This window comes from Homo sapiens, chromosome 4, assembly GCF_000001405.40.
Source record: "Homo sapiens chromosome 4, GRCh38.p14 Primary Assembly".
Lineage (NCBI taxonomy): Eukaryota > Metazoa > Chordata > Mammalia > Primates > Hominidae > Homo > Homo sapiens.
In genome coordinates this window covers 14,387,962-14,407,000 of record NC_000004.12, presented here as the reverse complement: position 1 = coordinate 14,407,000, position 19,039 = coordinate 14,387,962, and the positions used below count along the sequence as shown (strand labels likewise).

Below are 19,039 nucleotides of genomic sequence, written 5' to 3'. Positions count from 1 at the left end.
AAACATAAGTATTAGTTACACTTTACTGAAGACCAGGAGCTGTCTGTTTACCCACTTCCTTTCATTGACTTCACTCTTCTCTCTCCTGTTCTCTCTCATCTGGTTTCAGGGCTTTCTAAATCAGGCCAATAGAGCACTATTCAACCTGATAACCAAGACAGATCAAACCCAAACATACAGTGCTTATGGAAAGAAATACACAAAGCTGTTATCAGGATGTGATGAGTAGAGTGGAATAAAAGAAGGCTTTGGTTTTCTTAACTTTTCTTTTTTTCTCTTTTTAACTTTTAAGTTCAGGGATACATGTGCAGGTTTGTTACATAGGTGAACTTGGTTCACGGGGTTTGTTGTACAGATTATTTTATCACCCAGGTATTAAGCCTAGTACCCATTAGTTATTTTTCCTGATCCTCTCCCTCTTCCCAGCCTCCACCCTTCAATAGGCCTCAGTGTGGGTTGTTCCCCTCTATGTGTCCATGTGTTCTCATCATTTAGCTCCCACTTATAAATGAGAACATGTGGTATTTGGTTTTCTGTTCCTATGTTAGTTTGCTAAGGATAATGGCCTCCAGCTCCATCTATGACCCTGTAAAGGACATGATCTCATTCTTTCTTATGGTTGCATAGCATTCTACGGTGTATATGTACCATATTTCCTTTATCCAGTCTATCCTTGATGGGCATTTAGGTTGATTCCATATCTTTGCTATTGTGAGTAGTGCTGCAATAAACTGTTTTTAAATGCAATACTATAAGGATGCATTGCTTTCATATTATGAAAAAATAATACATCTTTTAAAATAAAACATATGCAATATAACCCTAAAATACAAAACTCAGACCAGAGGGAGCAGCTGCACCTATAACCCAGGAAAATTCCCTCAGCACTTTTACTTCCCTCCTGAGGGCCTCTTCACATAGGTAATGAACAACTATTTAGGGGGCTTCATAGTTTACAAAGTACTCTCTCAACCATTGCCTTATTAAGCATTCATAGCAATTCAATACGATTATTTATTTCCATTTTGCCGATGAGAAACTGAGACTTAGAGGGTTAAATGACTTAATTTCTGTTGACAGTCACAATCTGAAATGCTGAGGGCAAAACAGAGTCTCAGATGTGGCTATGATGCAGAGGAGCAGCACAGAGAGGGCAGCTCAGGACCCTTGGGCAGGGAGGGTGGAGGTACAAAATGGAGATAGCAACATGCCCCTCCTCTTGGATACACCATGTGCCAGCTCTTTCCACAGATCATCCCATAACCATACTGTGTAAACACACTGCTGTCCCATTGTCAGATGAAGGATTAAAGCTCAGTGAGGTGAAATCACTGTCTACACTGAGAAGCTAGTACGTGTTGAAACTGGAATTCAAATGTGGATACACCTAAACCTAAACCTTCTTCTCTAAACCATTTGACCCAGTCCCTTCCTAAGAGGCTGTTCACAGAGGAACGCCATGGTGCCCTGCAACCTGATGTTGCATCCAACTTCTTCAGCAGACTATGGGAGCCCCAGGAAAGTGGATTTAGTCTCATTACCTTCACATGCTCAGTGCCCATTGAAGTGTCTGCCTCAGAGCAGTCATTTAACACTCACTTGTGGAAGAGCCAAAAGAAAAGTGATTTGTCTGCCTAGACAGGTTAGGTCCCTAGCTGAATCCTTTTGTCTGTTCCCACAGCATGAAGGAAGACACTGGTTAGCATATCCATGCTTCACTTTTATGCATTTGTTGTAGTGTGAGCTGCAGCATTGCCACTTTTAATCAGACATTCGTTGTCCAATAAACACAGGTCCAAAGCACCCAGTGCAACATTTGCAGAGGTTGGCAGGACAGGATAAGAAGTCTGTTATTGGGACCGCCCCATCATAATTCCCATTTTCGCCTTTCCCTCAGCACTGCCAGCCTTGGGCAGGGTGCAGAAACTGAAGCCAACTTTAGAGAAATCCAAAAGGTTAAAATCTGTGTTTCGGCAATGGGCTTTGTGCAAAGTGGCTGCTAGTCTGTGGATTACGCTGTTCCCTGACCTTTCTGGGATGAAGCATTCTTCACAGCTGTCATTGCGTCAGTGTAAGAGCCCAGAAATATCATTAGGAAAGATGTCTTGGCTGGAAGTCTGTGCCAAGCCTGGGGGAGGGGGATTGTGCTGAGGAAGCATGACCAGAAATTTAATAATGGGAGCTGAATCCAGTTATGGACACTGCTGCAGAGACCAAGGAGATTTGCCTTTTCTGTGGCCCTCACTACACTGTACGCAATTGTCTATTTCTATGTCTGTCTTCCTTTCTAGTCTTCAAGGGCTTTAAGGGGAGAAGCCTGTCATATTCCAGCATCCTCCACTATAGTGCCTAGCACATGGTACAAGTTATGAAAATTTTTCCTAAAACAAAAGAAATCAAAGATGATAGAATATAAGGGGCTTAACATCAACTCATATGTCTTAGTTAATGGCTTGGTTTATGTGATGACAGAGGCTGAGAATTCCAAGATCTGCAGTCAGCAAGCTGGAGACACAGAAAAGCAAATGGTGTAGTTCCAGTCCAAGTCTAAAAGCCTGAGAATCAGAAGAGCTAACTGGGTAGTTTCAGTCTGAGTTAGAGTCGAAAGGCAGGAGAATAACTATACCCCAGGTGAATCAGGCAGAGAGGGAAATTTTGTCTTACTCAGCCTTTTATTCTATTTAGGCATTCAATGGGTTAGACAAGTTTAGATAAGGTATACTCACATGGGGAGACAGAAATTTGCTTTACTCAGTCTTCTAATTCAAATATTAATGTTATCCAGAAACAGGCTGTATACCAAGAATAAAATTTTAAACCCCCAACTGACTAAACAGAACCCTTCTTGGCCAAGGGGATCCCAATGAAACCTGAAAAACTAATTCAGGCCATGAAGAGAAGAGGAGGTCAGACACACCTCATTATTCCCTCCTCCCTTTGGAATTTAGACACAACTGACCAGCATTAACATTAAAACATGTTAAGACTGAAAAACAGACTGTAGCAATAAGACACCCATTTCCAAACTGACTCTGGTACAGCATTACATTACAGATAGCAAGCTCTGAAGGAAATCAGAATGTTTAACCCCAAATATATTATTTTTACTTATTTTGTGATGCCCCAGCAAAGCTGTTATTATGATTTGGCTCCCCACCCAACTCTCATGTTGAACTGTAATCCCCAGTGTTGGGGAAGGAACCTGGTGGGAAGTGATTGGACCAAAGAGTTTGATTTTCCCCTTGCTGTTCTCATGATAGTGAGGAAGTTCTCATGAGATCTGGCTGTTTGAAGGTGTATAGCACTTCCTCCTTTACTCTCTCTCTCTCTCTCCTGCTGCCATGTGAAGATGTGCTTGCTTCCCCTTTGCCCTTCTGCCATGATGGTAAGTCTCCTGAGGCCTACCCAGCCATGCCTCCTGTACAGCCTGTGGAATGTGAGCCAATTAAACCTCTTTTTTTTTTTTTTTTGGTAAATTACCCAGTCTCAGGTAGTTTTTTTATGGCAATGTGAGAAGAGACTAATACAGCTGTCTCTTGAGTGAGAAAATTGCATTCTGTGGAGAATCTTCTCCTACTAGGTCTTTTCTGGAGAGTCTGATACCTTTCAAGGTCCCATAAGAACCATTAAGCATCTATTATCTCTGAAGTCTGCTACCTATGGGCTTCATATACATAACAAGAACCTTAGCTTCTACAACTCCCGCTTATCTTAACTCAAGCTGACTTCAACTCTTCAGGCAAAGTTTAACTCTTTCAACCACTTGCCAATTAGAAAATCTCTGAGCCCACCTATGGCTTGGAAGCCACCCCTCACCCCAACCCTCCCCTTTGAGATGTTCTATCTTTCTGAGCCAAGTCAATGTATACCTTACATGTGTTGGTTTGTCTCTTTGCCTGTAACTTCTGTCTCCCTAAAATGTGAAATATCAATCTGTAACCCAGCCACCATGGGCACATGTTCTCAGGACTTACTGAGGCTGAGTCATGGGCCATGGCCTTTAATCTTGATAAAATAAACCTCTGAATTGATTGAGACCTGTCTGAGATACTTTTTGGTTTACAATCCTCACAGACACAATGAGAAATCATGCTTAACCAAACAGCTGGGCACCCCATTATCCAGTCAAGTTGACATATAAAATTAACTGTCACAGATAGAGATCCCATGAAACAGAGATAGGGAGACAATAATTGAGACAACAGAAAAGGAACAGTCAAGAAAGATTATGGTGTTAAGTTGGAAACTGAGGTGAGTAGCTGTGGTTCAACCCTACACATACTCACTGAAGAATCTTGTAGAGTATGCTTCACAATTGTCCCTCTGAAGCATAGGAAACTGGACATATTCATATTCTTTCACTTCTACCCACTATAGAAAGGGGTGATTATTACCCTCATTTTCACAGGCTGCACCTGCTCCTGGTCTAAGAAGTGCTACAGATATTAAAATAAACTCTATGGCAATAAAAGGAGAGGCGAGTGTAGCAGACACAATTAAAATATACACCATAGTTTCGCTTAATTCACATGGGCCAATATAACGGGTTGGGGGCACAGAATGTGTTTACTGTTCTTATAGGGTTACTCTTATATGATCCTGAGCTTGTGGAATGTTACAGTCCCAATAGCGCTTCAGAATTTGCAAAGCACTTACCCATTTATCACCTCATTTGACCTCTCTAACAACCCCATAAGTAGGTAAGAATGTTCTCTCTTCCTGACTTTTAGACAAGGGATGAACCACATGGGGCTGAGTGCCTCCCCAGGTGTTCAGATGGTTAAAGAGCTGGAGCCAGAACTGTAGTCCCTGGGCTCTGCTTCCCCTTTTCCTTCTGCTTCAGCAGCATTGGAGTGTTTCTGTCTCCTCTCCTCAGCCTTAGGATTCTTGGAATAAGAAAAAACTAACCATTGAGGAAACAGAGTCATTCCAGGTTAGATTTCTGGGAAATCAGCTTGGATTTATATATATCATAGGTGAGAGACAGGTAGACAAGAAAGAGCTCAGGTAGACAGCTGGGTTCCAATTTTAGTACTACCACCAACCAGCCTTATGGTCTTCTTTCTCCTTTCTGAGTCTTCCATTTTATTTCTGTCAAGTGAGAAAGTCTCACTAAGTAGTGGTGTGTGTTTGTGTGTGTGTGTGTGTGTGTGTGTGTGTGTGTGTGTGAAAAAGAGAGAGAGAGAATCAACTGAGCAGCCTATGCAGCACTATAGCAGCAATAGTCTGTTGAAAGAATGTTGGTTTCAAAGTCATAGAGACCTGGTGCCATCTTGGCTTGACGGGAGTGTGATTTTGAGCAAGTATCCTGGCGTCCCTGAGGTTTGATTTACCTATATGTTAAGTAAGTTTCATAGTTACTTTGTAGCATGAATGAAAAATTTATGATAATATATGTGCAATTACTAGGTCATTGCCTTACACATAGAAAACAAAAATGGTTATTATGGCTGCTATTATTTCTATTAGTTGTATTATATTCAATAAGCTAATTTTTAACTTACCTAACTCCTTTGAAAAGTTTCTTCATGGACCAATTTACCCACTTGGCATCTCTTTATATGATAAATGTAAAATTTATAACTGTATCATTTATTTTATAAGTATTGAGAAGGTACAAATATTGTCTATTTTCCATAGATAAATCCAGCAATCCATACTTGGCATTGTGTAACTAATAAAGTCATGAATACCAGCACCTCCTGTTTGGCACACACTCAATAACAACAACAAAAAAACTGATGATTGATAATGATCCTTTTCACATTAACATTTCTAACATTCTTCTAAATACCTGGATGTAAAAACCACTTGCCAACAAGTGGTTTAGACCAACAAGTCTAAAAATAGTTCTTTGTTTTAAATATACTACCACATTAAAATACCAAATAAAGGAAACATACCATCTGGACTAGAGGGCATTTAAGAGTCACATTAAGTTCACTTAAGATTACAGGAATGGTTGTTAACACCTGCAGCTCTGTCTACTGATACAGGATTTAATGTTTGAGAGCCAGAGCTATAAGTTAGAGAATAAAAGAATGCAGAATTAGAATTGGATATAGTTTCTTTTTTTGCTCATGATTTAGAATATTTATGTCTTCCTTTATGAAATAAGAAGCAAATTCATGAGGGGAAAAACATGGTAATCCGTGCAAAAGTCCTTCGAGTCCTTCAGAAAAACTCTGTCCTTTCCAAAGGCTCATCAGGGCATTTAGAGGATTATCTTTTCATTTTGGGTTCTTATGCAAAGTAAATTCTTGTTTGGTCTTGTATTCTTTAGGAGACATCAGCAATTCTGTTCTTTGAATAAAATGATGTGCTTTTAATCCATTCTCAATATACCTCCATGGAAGATGACTCAGATCCCAAATAGCATAATGTGAATAATTTTCAAAGGCTCTGAGATCCTATTTCCTGAAAGCCTCACAACCTACATCACCAAGAGCAGTGATTGCTGCAAAGAGCAAAGAAAAAGGAAGTGAACAAACAAAAGAAGAACAGGAAGTGGAGTGCAGACAGAAGTGGCAGAACTGTGAGGTCATCAAGTTGAAGACCTCTTCTTATGCATCTTAATACTGCAGGACCAGCCCCTGTGGTTCTAAGAACTGCCAAGCCTCTGAAACACTTGAGCTTTTCCATCTACAAATGAATGTAGTAGAAATAGTACTGGATTTTTAGTTGAATATTTGTGAACTTGAGTGTCATGTTACCACAGACTAGTGGAATAATCTTGAGCCAATCTAGTCAGCTCTCTAGATCTCAGTTTCTCTATCTGTAAATGGTGAATTAACAGAGGGAAAAATGAAGATCTGCACTGAATAGAATGTTACCTGCTATTCCATCATTGTTGGAGGAACTGAGAGTCCTCACAAAGTCTCTAATTTCTTCCCCAGCCTGGGCTTTTTCTGGTACTTTCTTCCCCTGTGTTGTGATGTCCCTGTGTTTTGTGACTCACAAAGAACAGATCTCAATCATGTGCAACTGGTGAATAAAGCTCTGACCCTAAGGTCTAAAAAATTTGGGTTGTGTCTCATGTCCATGAGTAACTAATTCCATATCCTTGAATAAGTTCTGCAACCTCTCTAAGCCCCAGCCTGTCCATCCACAAAAAAACCATAATGACAATCCAAAGGGTTTTATGAGAATTCAGTGAGAAACTGCATTTTAAGCACTTAGCCCAGGGCTCTGTACATAGCAAGTGGTCAATGTAAATTGGATGTTATTAGCACACATAATTTTAGGCCAGCTAATCTAAAACTTCAGAAAATCGCACATCTATGTTTATGCAAAAGAATAAATATATGTAAGGATGAAATATCATTGACTTAGTTCACATATCAAACATAGATAAAAATAAATAATATTAAATTTAGCAAAGACCAGAGATGGAAAGGTGATGAATACAAATGATACTTACGGTAGTAATATAACTTTCCCATTAGGGAAAATAAAGGTTTGGCAAAGCTATTGCAATGGCCTGCTAATGGTTCTTCACAATTGCAATACTGTACCCTTCATCCAGATTACACAGAGCACAAAAAATAGTCATAGAATCCAAATACAGCCACATTACTCACCTACTTAAATCTGTTGGAGTATTCCCTTGCCCCTAAGATGAAGCTTGAATTTTTCAACATGATTTATAAGCTATTTCCTAAGTATCTACCTTGGCAGTTTTCCTCTTGCTACTCTTCCACTCCTGTTCTACAGTCTTATAGTTACCCTTTCCAAGGACTTGGAGCAGAAAACATTTTCCCTTGATTATGGTTTAGCATCTGCTATTTTTTGGCTCATCCTTGACTGCCCTTGACTCTGAGCCCCCTCCGTCTTTTGCCTTTTCTACTCTATTTATTTTTCAGGTCTTAGTTCAGATAGTTTGATCCCATTCTTCATAGCTTGTGTTTCTCCATCTAAATAGCTCATGATCATTTTTGTTACTAAAAACATCCTTCAATTTCCAAATGTAATTGGTACCTAAAATTGTGTTGGATGGCAAATTTAGGGATAGTTTAAACCCACATTGTGTTTTCTTTAAATTGGGAGAAGGGTCCTTGCCTTCCCTTTCATGAAAGATGTTGTGGGTGCCCGGCCTATCATTTACTAATGCAGGTGCAGTATACATTGTATACATACAAATGTAGTTTGTATTGATACTGTACATGTTGAAACAAAGTACATTTTCCTCCTCTGAATACTGTAATAGAAACAAAAATAAGTTAAAAATACATGATGAGTTAAAATAGTGCTTAGCAAAATAAAATCAATTAAAACATAATTAAAATTGTTATCTGCCAATTGGAGAGCTGCCTGAGAAAGGTTTGGTGGTGAAAGATGGTAGAGAGAGCATGTAGTTACTGTGGCTATTATATTATGTTATAAAGGAGGGAGAAGCAGCGGTGAAAGGATGGCTGAAATAGTAAGTGTCTTTGGTTTGTCTATATGCAAATTTGCAGAGCCGGAAGAGTCTTCAGTTCTTGGAGTTTTAGATTCAAGAAGTAGATACAAGAAAAAAACAAACAACCTCATCAAAAAGTGGGCGAAGGATATGAACAGACACTTCTCAAAAGACATTTATGCAGCCAAAAAACACATGAAAAAATGCTCACCATCACTGGCCATCAGAGAAATGCAAATCAAAACCACAATGAGATACCATCTCACACCAGTTAGAATGGCAATCATTAAAAAGTCAGGAAACATCAGGTGCTGGAGAGGATGTGGAGAAACAGGAACACTTTTACACTGTTGGTGGGACTGTAAACTAGTTCAACCATTGTGGAAGTCAGTGTGGCGATTCCTCAGGGATCTAGAACTAGAAATACCATTTGACCCAGCCATCCCATTACTGGGTACATACCCAAAGGATTATAAATCATGCTGCTATAAAGACACATGCACACGTACGTTTATTGCGGCACTATTCACAATAGCAAAGACTTGGAACCAACCCAAATGTCCAACAATGATAGACTGGATTAAGAAAATGTGGCACATATACACCATGGAATACTATGCAGCCATAAAAAATGATGAGTTCATGTCCTTTGCAGGGACATGGATGAAGCTGGAAACCATCATTCTCAGCAAACTATCGCAAGGACAAAAAACCAAACACTGCATGTTCTCACTCATAGGTGGGAATTGAACAATGAGAACACATGGACACAGGAAGGGGAACATCACACAGCAGGGACTGTTATGGGGTGGGGGTAGGGGGGAGGGATAGCATTAGGAGATATACCTAATGCTAAATGACAAGTTACTGGGTGCAGCACACCAACATGGCACATGTATACGTATGTAACAAACCTGCATGTTGTGTACACGTACCCTAAAACTTAACGTATAATACTAAATAAAAATAAAAAATAAAAAAAAAAGTAGATTCATATGCATCAATATCCAAAGGCATAGAGAAAACAATGAGAATGAGAAACCTACTCTTGTGCCTTTTGCTTAGTTATACAACTAATGATAACATGTTATGAAACTTACAACTGCATTTTTAAACATGGTATCTTTGCCTATGTCATGATGATGTTCACTCACAACAAGTCATTTTGTCTGCATGATTTATAATTTTTTGTAAAGCATTGGCATTGTGTATTTTGTTGCTTTCCTTCCTCTTACACCTTCTTGGAAGATATTTTCACTTAATACTATTGTGAAGACGGTAGCAATAACTTCATGGTATGTTTACAAAACATGAGCACTGAATGGGATCCTTTTAAGAGAACATTTGAGATATTACTGCAGTACAATCGGCATTCTATTGACAGGATTTGCAAATAACTTGGATGTTTTCACTAGCACACAAATTCAGGGTTTGGCTTGTTGTTTGGCTTGTTGTTTGGCTTGTTGTTTGGCTTGTTGTTGACATGCTTGTTGTTGGCATGTTGAATAGCAACATTCACATAGAAATTCTGCAAATTGTTATAACAACCATTTGGATAATAAGACTATGAAAATTTAGTTAGGGATAACTCTATTTGTTTGTCTATCCAGGGCATTCTAAGTTGATCTCTGTGAAGTCTAACATTTTGTCACTATTATGGTGCCATAATGATGTCATATTTTCTGCTAACAATTCAGAACCACTTGTGACCCTCTTTCTAGACTCTCTCATATCATTATGGCTGAAACAGTAGAAACTACATGCCCCAGGCTTTCTTGCCAGCACGGTTCTGGTTTTGGTACTACTAATGGGAAGGCAAGGATATGTTATTAAAAGATAGGAGAGAGTCATAAGTTGTTTGAAGAAGAGTAGACACAGTGGACTAATGCAGTCTTGTGCGTCCAAGTTTTCTGCAGCAACAGTGGCAGCTGTTGCAGTAGCATCAGAAGACCATCAGCACTGCAGCAGAGACACAGCTATGTGGGTTCTTGAGTAGTAGTAGCAAACTAGATTCAGCATACTGAGGTCCTGGTGGTAGCTTCCTTAAATTCTCTAGCTCTGGGTAAGAGTAATCCTCACCTTAAAAAAAAAAAAAATCCTCCAGCCCTCCCAACAAGTCTGCCAACTATCTCTTCATATTAAATTTATCTTGTTTGATACACCTACAGTCATTTCCATTTCTCTGGCCAAATATGACTCATACAATCATTCAATGCCGGGTCCCCAGGATCTTGGACATAAAATACTGTTCAACGAGCATTTTAAAAATCAATACAAGAAAGAAGTGTTTCACAACCAGTGAGTATTCTAGCCAAGACTTAAACTCAGGTCTTACACAAATCCCTTATTTGGATTTATATAATTTCTTTCAAATATCTCATGCTGAGTTTCAAATAAGATGCATTAATGACACTGCCTGATCTCATGGAGTGTCTATTTTGGGCATCAAGATGAATGACAGAGTATGAAGGAGTCCAACAAGGAAGTGTCAGTCTCAGAAATGATGTTGACCATGCAAAGATTTAAAGTTACAAAATGAATTAAATCAGAGTTCTATCCATGATCTACTGATCTATTTTATTGAAGTTGTATATTTGCTTTAATTCTTGTAACCACATAAATGTGGAAAATGGTGATATATGTGTATTTCACAGATACTGAAAATACTACTCATCTTTCAGGTTCGGTAATATATTTTGGGTGGTCTGCAAAGTAACATTACCCTAAGTAAATCAAGCAATGAAGAGTAGAGTATAGGGATGAAGATTTTGGGGAAAGCAAATTTATTTACTTTAACTGATTCAAATTGTGATAGAGGATGAGATATAAATACATGCATATGTACTTATATACAAAATAAATATAAATTATGTTTCATTTTATACCATTGAATTCAGCACACATTTATTAGAAAATTCATATTGATGACAATATACCAGGACTAGACTAGCAGGAAGAACCCTGTTTATGCTTAGAGGAAGATGTATTTAGGTGGAAAGAGAGAGAGAGAGACAGAAACAGTGTTCCCATAAGGACATTGATTGTCATTTTAAGGAAGTGGGAGTAGTTTTGTTAAGCTGGAATTCAGGTGCAAGAGTGATTGGAGGGTTTTTGTACCCAAGTGAACCCGTACCCATTTTGTACCCAAAGTGAAACCAGTGACTGATACAGGCAAGACCTAGATGCCTCGAAGATGCTTGAGGTAACCGTGCCGACTCACTACTCATTGACTCTGCCCACACTTATTTGGATTAATTTCACCCCTAGCTTCTCCATTCTTGCTTTCATTAACATTCTTCGTTTTAAGACTTTGGTCTTGAGATTTGCTTCTGGTCTTTTCACCTACTAACTTTTGTCTCCAACTTGGACTTGGCTTACATTGGCTGTGTTTTAAGAACCATACTAATAAGCACTGCAGTCTCAGATGCTGGCCCGTTTCCATCTTGCCAGCCTCATGTTTCATTGTTGAGGGAGGAGTAAAATGGGGTTTTTAGACAGGTAGAGGAAAAGATAGAAAAAAATGTTCAAAATTATGCAAGAGTTTATGCATTAAATAGGCTAGGACATATAATAGTATAAAATTTATAAAATTGTGTATTCTTTCTGCTGTTCATTCTTTTAGCTCTGAGTATTTATAAGAGACTTCACCATGAATATAGGAATGGTACATCCTTTGCAGGGAAGGAGCAATGGTGTCCTGCCTTCCACTTGCCAACTACTCTTCACCATCCTCCACAAACCCAAGGCTGAACTCTGGTTCTCATAGAAGATTAATAATACCCTTCCTTGAGGTTGACAATTTCCAGCATGTGCAATTATCCTCAATGGAAAAAGGCCTGAAGCCTTGTGCAGAAAGGCTTAAATTCTTAGCTCTACCATTGAAGTGGCCACAATTCTACTTCACAGTGCTTGTGAGCAGAGATAATGCAAGAAACTACCTCCAAAATATTCAAAGTTGAATTACTTTGACAAAAAGAACATTTCTCTTTTCAATTCAGCTGCAGATAATTTCAGAAATGCTAAATCTTTCTGAATCACCTCTTAAATCACAGTTAACAGTTCAGATTTTTAACTCAAATTCAATTAAAAAAATGATGCCCAAGGGGAGGAGATGGGGGTTACAAGACAAAAGGAAGTCTATGAGAAGAAAAATCCAGAAGGTGAAATAAAAATGTGCATATGCTGTTTGAGTCTACCACAAGCATTTATTAATGGGTGGTGGGCCAATAGTCTAAGATCAATGGTTTGAGCCAGACTGACTAGAATAAAACCTGTTAGAGGGGACCTGCATCCATGCAATCAATCAACAAACATATATCAATTGCTTAATACACAGCAGAGGCTCTGTTAGTGACAGACTATTACAAATATATGTAAATTATATCTGATATAACTTGCATATATATGTAAATTATATTATGTTATTCCCCTCCCCATGGACTGCGTTAGAATAAAGCCTAAACCTCTTGTTCTGACCTATAAGACCCTATAGGACACAACCTATTCATCTTTTCAGTGTTATCTCCTACCTCCTCTCATTTGTTATGTTCCGGGTAGACTCATTTTTTGTATTGGCTCTAGCTCCTTAGAAAATAGAGTCAGAGGCGAAATCTTATACATCAATGCTTTATTTGAGCACTTCATCCCAGGGAAACAAGAGTAAGAAAAACACAGGACATGCAGTGGGGAAGAAAGGAGAGCAACTCAAGCTGCCCACTGCCCACAGCAATACAATAAATGTTGCTCCTTACTTAGGCCCTTGGACATCTCATACGAAAACAAAGGCCTGTCTTAGAGTTTGTTTTAAAAAGAAAGGATGAATGAGTAATTGGCTAGTTCCCTCTTGTCTTCTGTCTCTAATAGGTCAGAGTCTTCCTTGCAGAGTATTGACTCCCATTAGCTTCTGGATTGTGTAATTCAGCTACCTTGAATAGCCAGTGAGGAAACTGAGTCTCTTTTGGTTTTACTGGTTTCATTGCAGGGACTTCAGCAGCTCTGTTTCAGCTGGCTCAAAGGAGACCTTGCTCAGGGAGACTCAACGTCTGCTGGTATAAAGAAATGAGGCATGCTGGCACAGGTTCACCCCACAGGGCTTGGTGACTGAGGACCACAGAAACCATTTTAGGGGCTGAGATGCCAGGCAGGTAGGTGGCTGAGGCCATGGACATGCAGGGCTGAACAGATCTGATTAACACACAACCTGGGCCTGGTACACTTGCTTTCTGCCCTTGGAATAAGTCTAGTTCATTCTCTTCTTAGATCCTCAATGCTGTGTCCTACACCTGGGATACTAGCTGTGTCCTCTTCTGGGAACACTTTCTCCCGGATCTTCTTAAATTCAGGTCTTTGCTCAAATATCACGTCTGCAGAAAAGCCCTCCCTGACCACGCTGTCTGCAGTAAGTCCCTGTCTTGTCTCCTAAGCCCTCTTCTTCTTATTCCTCTGTTTTATTTGCTTTCATGCAATTTATCACTATGTGTAACATTTTATATTTGTTAAATTATTTACATTATTAGTGTCTTACTTCCTGCCCAATAAATGAGAAGATCCATGAAGCAGGGAATTAATCTGTCTTGTTTGCCATATTCTCAGCCTATAGAAAAAGATTGGGATACAGTATGTATTTAATATTTATTATATAGAAGATGGATAGAAGAGAAAGTGAATAAAACTGACCCAGTCTCTACCACAAAGGAATTCTAGATATAGTGGGGGAGACAAGGAAGTTTTCGATCTCAAAGTAGTGTGGCAAATGCTCTGTTTGAAGTAAATTTAGAGTGACAAGAATGACAACAGAGACACCATTTCAGATGGAGTGGAGGGGTCTGACACTGAATGACTGAGGCTTGAACAAGTCTCAGAGAACCAGCAGGAGTCAGATGATCGACTGTGGCAAAGAACCTTTTAATCATTTACGCAATCACAAGGTAAAGATTAAGAGGCTAAACCCTGCCTGAGTTTGAATCCTGTTCTGTCATCAGTGGCTGTGTGACGTCAGATTCAATACATAAACATCCTTTGCCTGTCTCCCCATCTATAAACAGACACCATATTAGCAGCTATTATCACCTTGGTATAAGGAATAAACAAGAAAATGTATGTGCAGCACTCAGCTCAGGACCTGACTCATCGTATGTGCTCAATACATATTCATTATATCATCAGGACTGACAGTTATTAGTTTGTGGATTACCTAGCAAGTATCAGGTGCTGAAATACCTTGGATGTAGGGTGACAAACAAAACAGAACAAGTCCCTTCCTCTTAGAGCTGTCATAAGCAGGTGATAAACAAGTAAACAAATATTTTTTTTTTAATGTGAGCTGCTATGAAGGAAAGAAACAGGAACGCAGAATACCCAGAGGAACAGCTGCTACCCCTCACTGCGGAGATGACATTTAAGCTGAGATCTGAAGAAGGAGCAGGGGCCAGGCACACAAAGAGCCAGAGCAGAGCGATCCAGGCCCAAGGAGCAGCGAGTACAAAGGCTGTGAGATTCGAAGGTAGAAAGAGAGAGTAGTGTCTGAGGCTCTGAAAGAACAATCGATGTCTGGAGGGCAGAGATAAGGGTAGAGAGGTCTGAGATGAGGCTGGAGAGGTAAGCAGAGACAGAGCATGCTGGGCCTTGAAGGCCAATGTAAAGGATTTAGATTTACTTCAAAGCACGGTGGAAGTTCATCAGATGGCTTCAAGCAAAGGAATAGCAAGATCCAGTCACCTTTTTAAAAGACCACTCTGGCTCCTGTGTGGAGGATGAATTGGAGATGGCCAAGAGTGAGAATGAGGAGATCATTTAGTGAGCAGTGAATAGCAACCCCAAGAGCTGGAGGTTGTCACCAGGAGACATTTGTCATTCAGATGGTGCCTTTGCAACCACTGGAGCTTTGCATCTCCTTTCTGGTGGCTGCTTCCTGCAGTGCATGAGGAGCCCATGATGGATGACTATGGTCCAGAACCCATTGGGAGGCCTATATTACAGAGCTGAGTGAGTCTTCTTTAGAACATTCACAGACACTGATTTTTACAGCCCTCCTGATTTTAATCATGAATTGCTAAGTCTTAATGCTCTGCAGTCATGGTGGTCAACTACTTTGGTGGTCAAAGTGATTAATCTGTTTAATTATTAGGTGACACTTGTTAGATTTTATTACAACTCTTAGTAACATTCTCTCCTATAAAACTTCTCCTGGGTCCAATGACAGAGCAGACCTGGTTAAAAATCGTAAGCTATTCATTAAATTACAATATTTCCACAGAGAGAAGCTAATGTCTTGGAGTGTCAAGACTGTCAAACATCAGTTGAAATACATTGAAAGCATATTATCTCCTGTGATCTTACAAATTTTAATATGTGCACATGTACACACACACATACAATCTTTGCCATTTGTGAAAATGTTTGAACTGTTAAAATATTATCATCCAAAGATTAAGTTAAAATAAAATAATCATCATCATCACATCACAGCAACAAAATCAATAGTTAACATACACTGAGCTCCTCTCATCACATGCTCTGGATTGCGCTAAGCACTCTGCTTATTCATCTCATTTAATCCTCAAAATAACACTGTCAAGTAGACCCTGAAATCCCCAAATTTTAAGTGAGGAAACTAAGGCCCAATGAGGTTATACAATGTCTGCAGTGTTGCCCAGAGAGAACGTGGAGTTGGTACTCAGATTCAGGTAATTATGACTCCAAAGGCCAGGCACTAACCACTCTGCAGCTGATTTCACTGCATCCCATTAAGGGTGTAAAGGATAACATCATAATTATGTGTGTGACTTGACGGAAGAGAAGGAGACCTCATTTTGGGCAATATTTTCAAATAAAATTGTCTGTCTTATCCTCATTTTCCTTCATTGTATAGAAAGAATGTTGAAGGAGATCTCTAGCGTTCTGGTCCTAAAGCTGTGTTGGACTGGAATTTTTTTTTTTTATTTATCCTCCTTATCCCAGAAGCTTTCATCACCCATAACATTTTGGGGATAGGTGTTTGACATACCATTTCTTTACCAGTTTTATGGAAGCTGGCACAGCATCCATGGTTCTTTTTGAGTGAAACACAAGAATAGCAGGTGCATGCTTCCAACTAGTCATGTGCCTGGGAATGGCTGCAGGTCAGTTGCAAGTCTCCGGAGGCAGTCCTCACTGTAGCTCACTTGACAACATGGAACATAAGGAAAATTGCTCACTGGATCTTTGTAACTCACAAGAGTTTGCACAGTATCAGGTCACTGTGTTAACATTAAATCAGAAACAGAAGACTTCTAAAATTAGTCTGTGTTTTCTCAAAAAAGAAAAGTTTCTCTGAAGTTAATATGAGAGGTGATAGCAACATCCTCACTTCTGACAGCATCACTGTGAAGCAGGGAGCCCTACTTTGTCACCTCTCTGTTCACCTTTGATGATTTAAGGCATTGACTAGAACTGGGGATTATCAGTGATGGCTTTTTCAGATCCATCTGTCATCAAACCTTGGGTCTTAATCTTCTGCCATTGTTCAAATCTGTTTTCACCTCATTTTCAACTCTGTAATAATTCTTCTAATTCCTCATATTTTTCACTTTCCTGAGCCTCCTATCTCTCTGAAAGACCTTCTCACTATCTGTTCCCAGGCATACCTTTTTTTTCCTACACATGCCTCAAAACTCAAGTTTCTCTGCTTAAAACTTTGTCTTGAAGACTCTCTTCTTGTTCTTCCAAAGAGCTCTCCTCTTTCTCTGTGCATTCATTTAACAGACATGTATCACACATGTTAGACCAGGCTTTGTGCTGGGTGAAAGGGATTCAGAGATATTATGTTGAGAAACATCAGCATGCAGTGATGTACTGGTAAGTGTTTAATGACTGAAACTCAAATATATATATATATATATGTATATATATATGTGTATATATATATGTATATATATACGTATATATGTGTATATATATATGTATATATATACGTATATATATGTGTATATATATGTATATATATATGTATATATATACATATATATATATGTGTATATATACATATATATATATGTATATATATGTGTATATATATGTATATATATGTGTATATATGTATATATATGTATATATATATCTACACACACACATATATATACACACACATATATATACATATATATATACACACGCATGTATATATACATATATATATATACACACACACACACATATATGTATATATTAGCCTTGATTCATTTGCAGAATTCAGCGGTGAAATACTCCCTTCATGGCCAATTTCAAGTTACCAGTTTGGCTTCACCTAACTGGAAGTTGAGTAGAGAGGTGTGCAATTGGCTCTTGCTGCCCAAAGCAAGCATACTGTAGCCTACTACAGCTAATGGGCATGTGCTAACATTCTACTTTAAAATACATACACTTAAGCCAATATTAATAATGTATAGATATAAATATAGTTCCCTTAATCCCACATATCTAAAATAACATATCTCACATGTTTAATAATAATATGAGGCACATGTGTGACTATAATAGGGAAGACTGGTTAACTTCTAACCCTTTCTCACTTGGGCACTGGGGAAGATTAGTCAGGGGACATTAATCAGGCATCTCGAGGAGGAACTATCTTGTCTGAGACTGTATCTTTTCTCCTCAGATGGGTTCTAGGGCATGTGGTAATTAGAGTTCTTGATGTCCCTGTCTGCCACTTTACAAATTTCTCTCTCAGAAGCACGCAGCCTTATTAATTTTATTCCAAAACAAAATTCAGAATCTACTATTTTTATTAATCATTGTTATTACATAAACCTGTGCAAGACAGAGAGGTTTGGAAGACAGAGATCTCCTTAGCTAAATCTCCTCTGAAACTGTCCTATCCCAGATCGTAAGTGTGAACCTAGAGTTCTTTCTTGTTATATGCAGAGCAAAGTCATCATCCAGGCAGAAGGCTGCTTTTAAAGTTTCTACTTTATTATTTAGGAGGTAAAATACCTGCTTCTGGTTTCCTAGTAAAACACCTCTGTGGATCCAGCAGCTGAAGTTAAAAAATATTCACCTGTTAGCTCAATGGGAATTGTCATGTCAGCCATTGTTTCTATGACTCTTAAATAACATGACCTCTACTTTTCTCCTGTACTGTGCTCTTCCATCACATGAAGTTATAGTGCATATGGAGTTGATCTTAAGAAAATTTCTTAAGAATGTTCCAGAATTCTCTGGGAGGTAATTTTCCTCCACACGCTGACAAGATGTTTTTCATCTTCAGAATAATGAATAATTTTAGTCAGACGTTAAAAAAAAAAAAGGAAAAGAAAATTGTTCACAGATGCATTGAAAATCCAAATTCACAATCCATCATTTCTCTTTTATGAATTTGTCAAGTACAAAAATCTAATTTTTAGCCTTGCCGGCTATTGTTCTAGGAAGCCAACTGCTTCTTGGAACACGTAACACTTAATGAAGACTTTCTCATAGTTAAAATTACATACAGTCCACGCTTACACACTGTGTCTCATTTTGTCACCATTATGGAAAGGAAATAATTATGTCCATTGTATCCCCTAACTCAGTCTCAAACCTTTCTCTCCTTTCCACAGCCACTGTCCACACTTGAGATAAGTCTCTGTGATTCTTGTCTCAAGCTTTGTGTCCTTGATTCCA

At 38.8% G+C, this 19,039-nt stretch overlaps 1 annotated feature.

The window, feature by feature from the left end:
• Positions 3,383-4,029: an enhancer, noted in NCBI's record as "OCT4-NANOG hESC enhancer chr4:14404596-14405242 (GRCh37/hg19 assembly coordinates)". NCBI's record gives its function as "activates a minimal SCP1, AML or CMV promoter by ChIP-STARR-seq in naive H9 embryonic stem cells {active_cell/tissue: H9 hESC(naive)}" and the evidence as "EXISTENCE:reporter gene assay evidence [ECO:0000049][PMID:30033119]".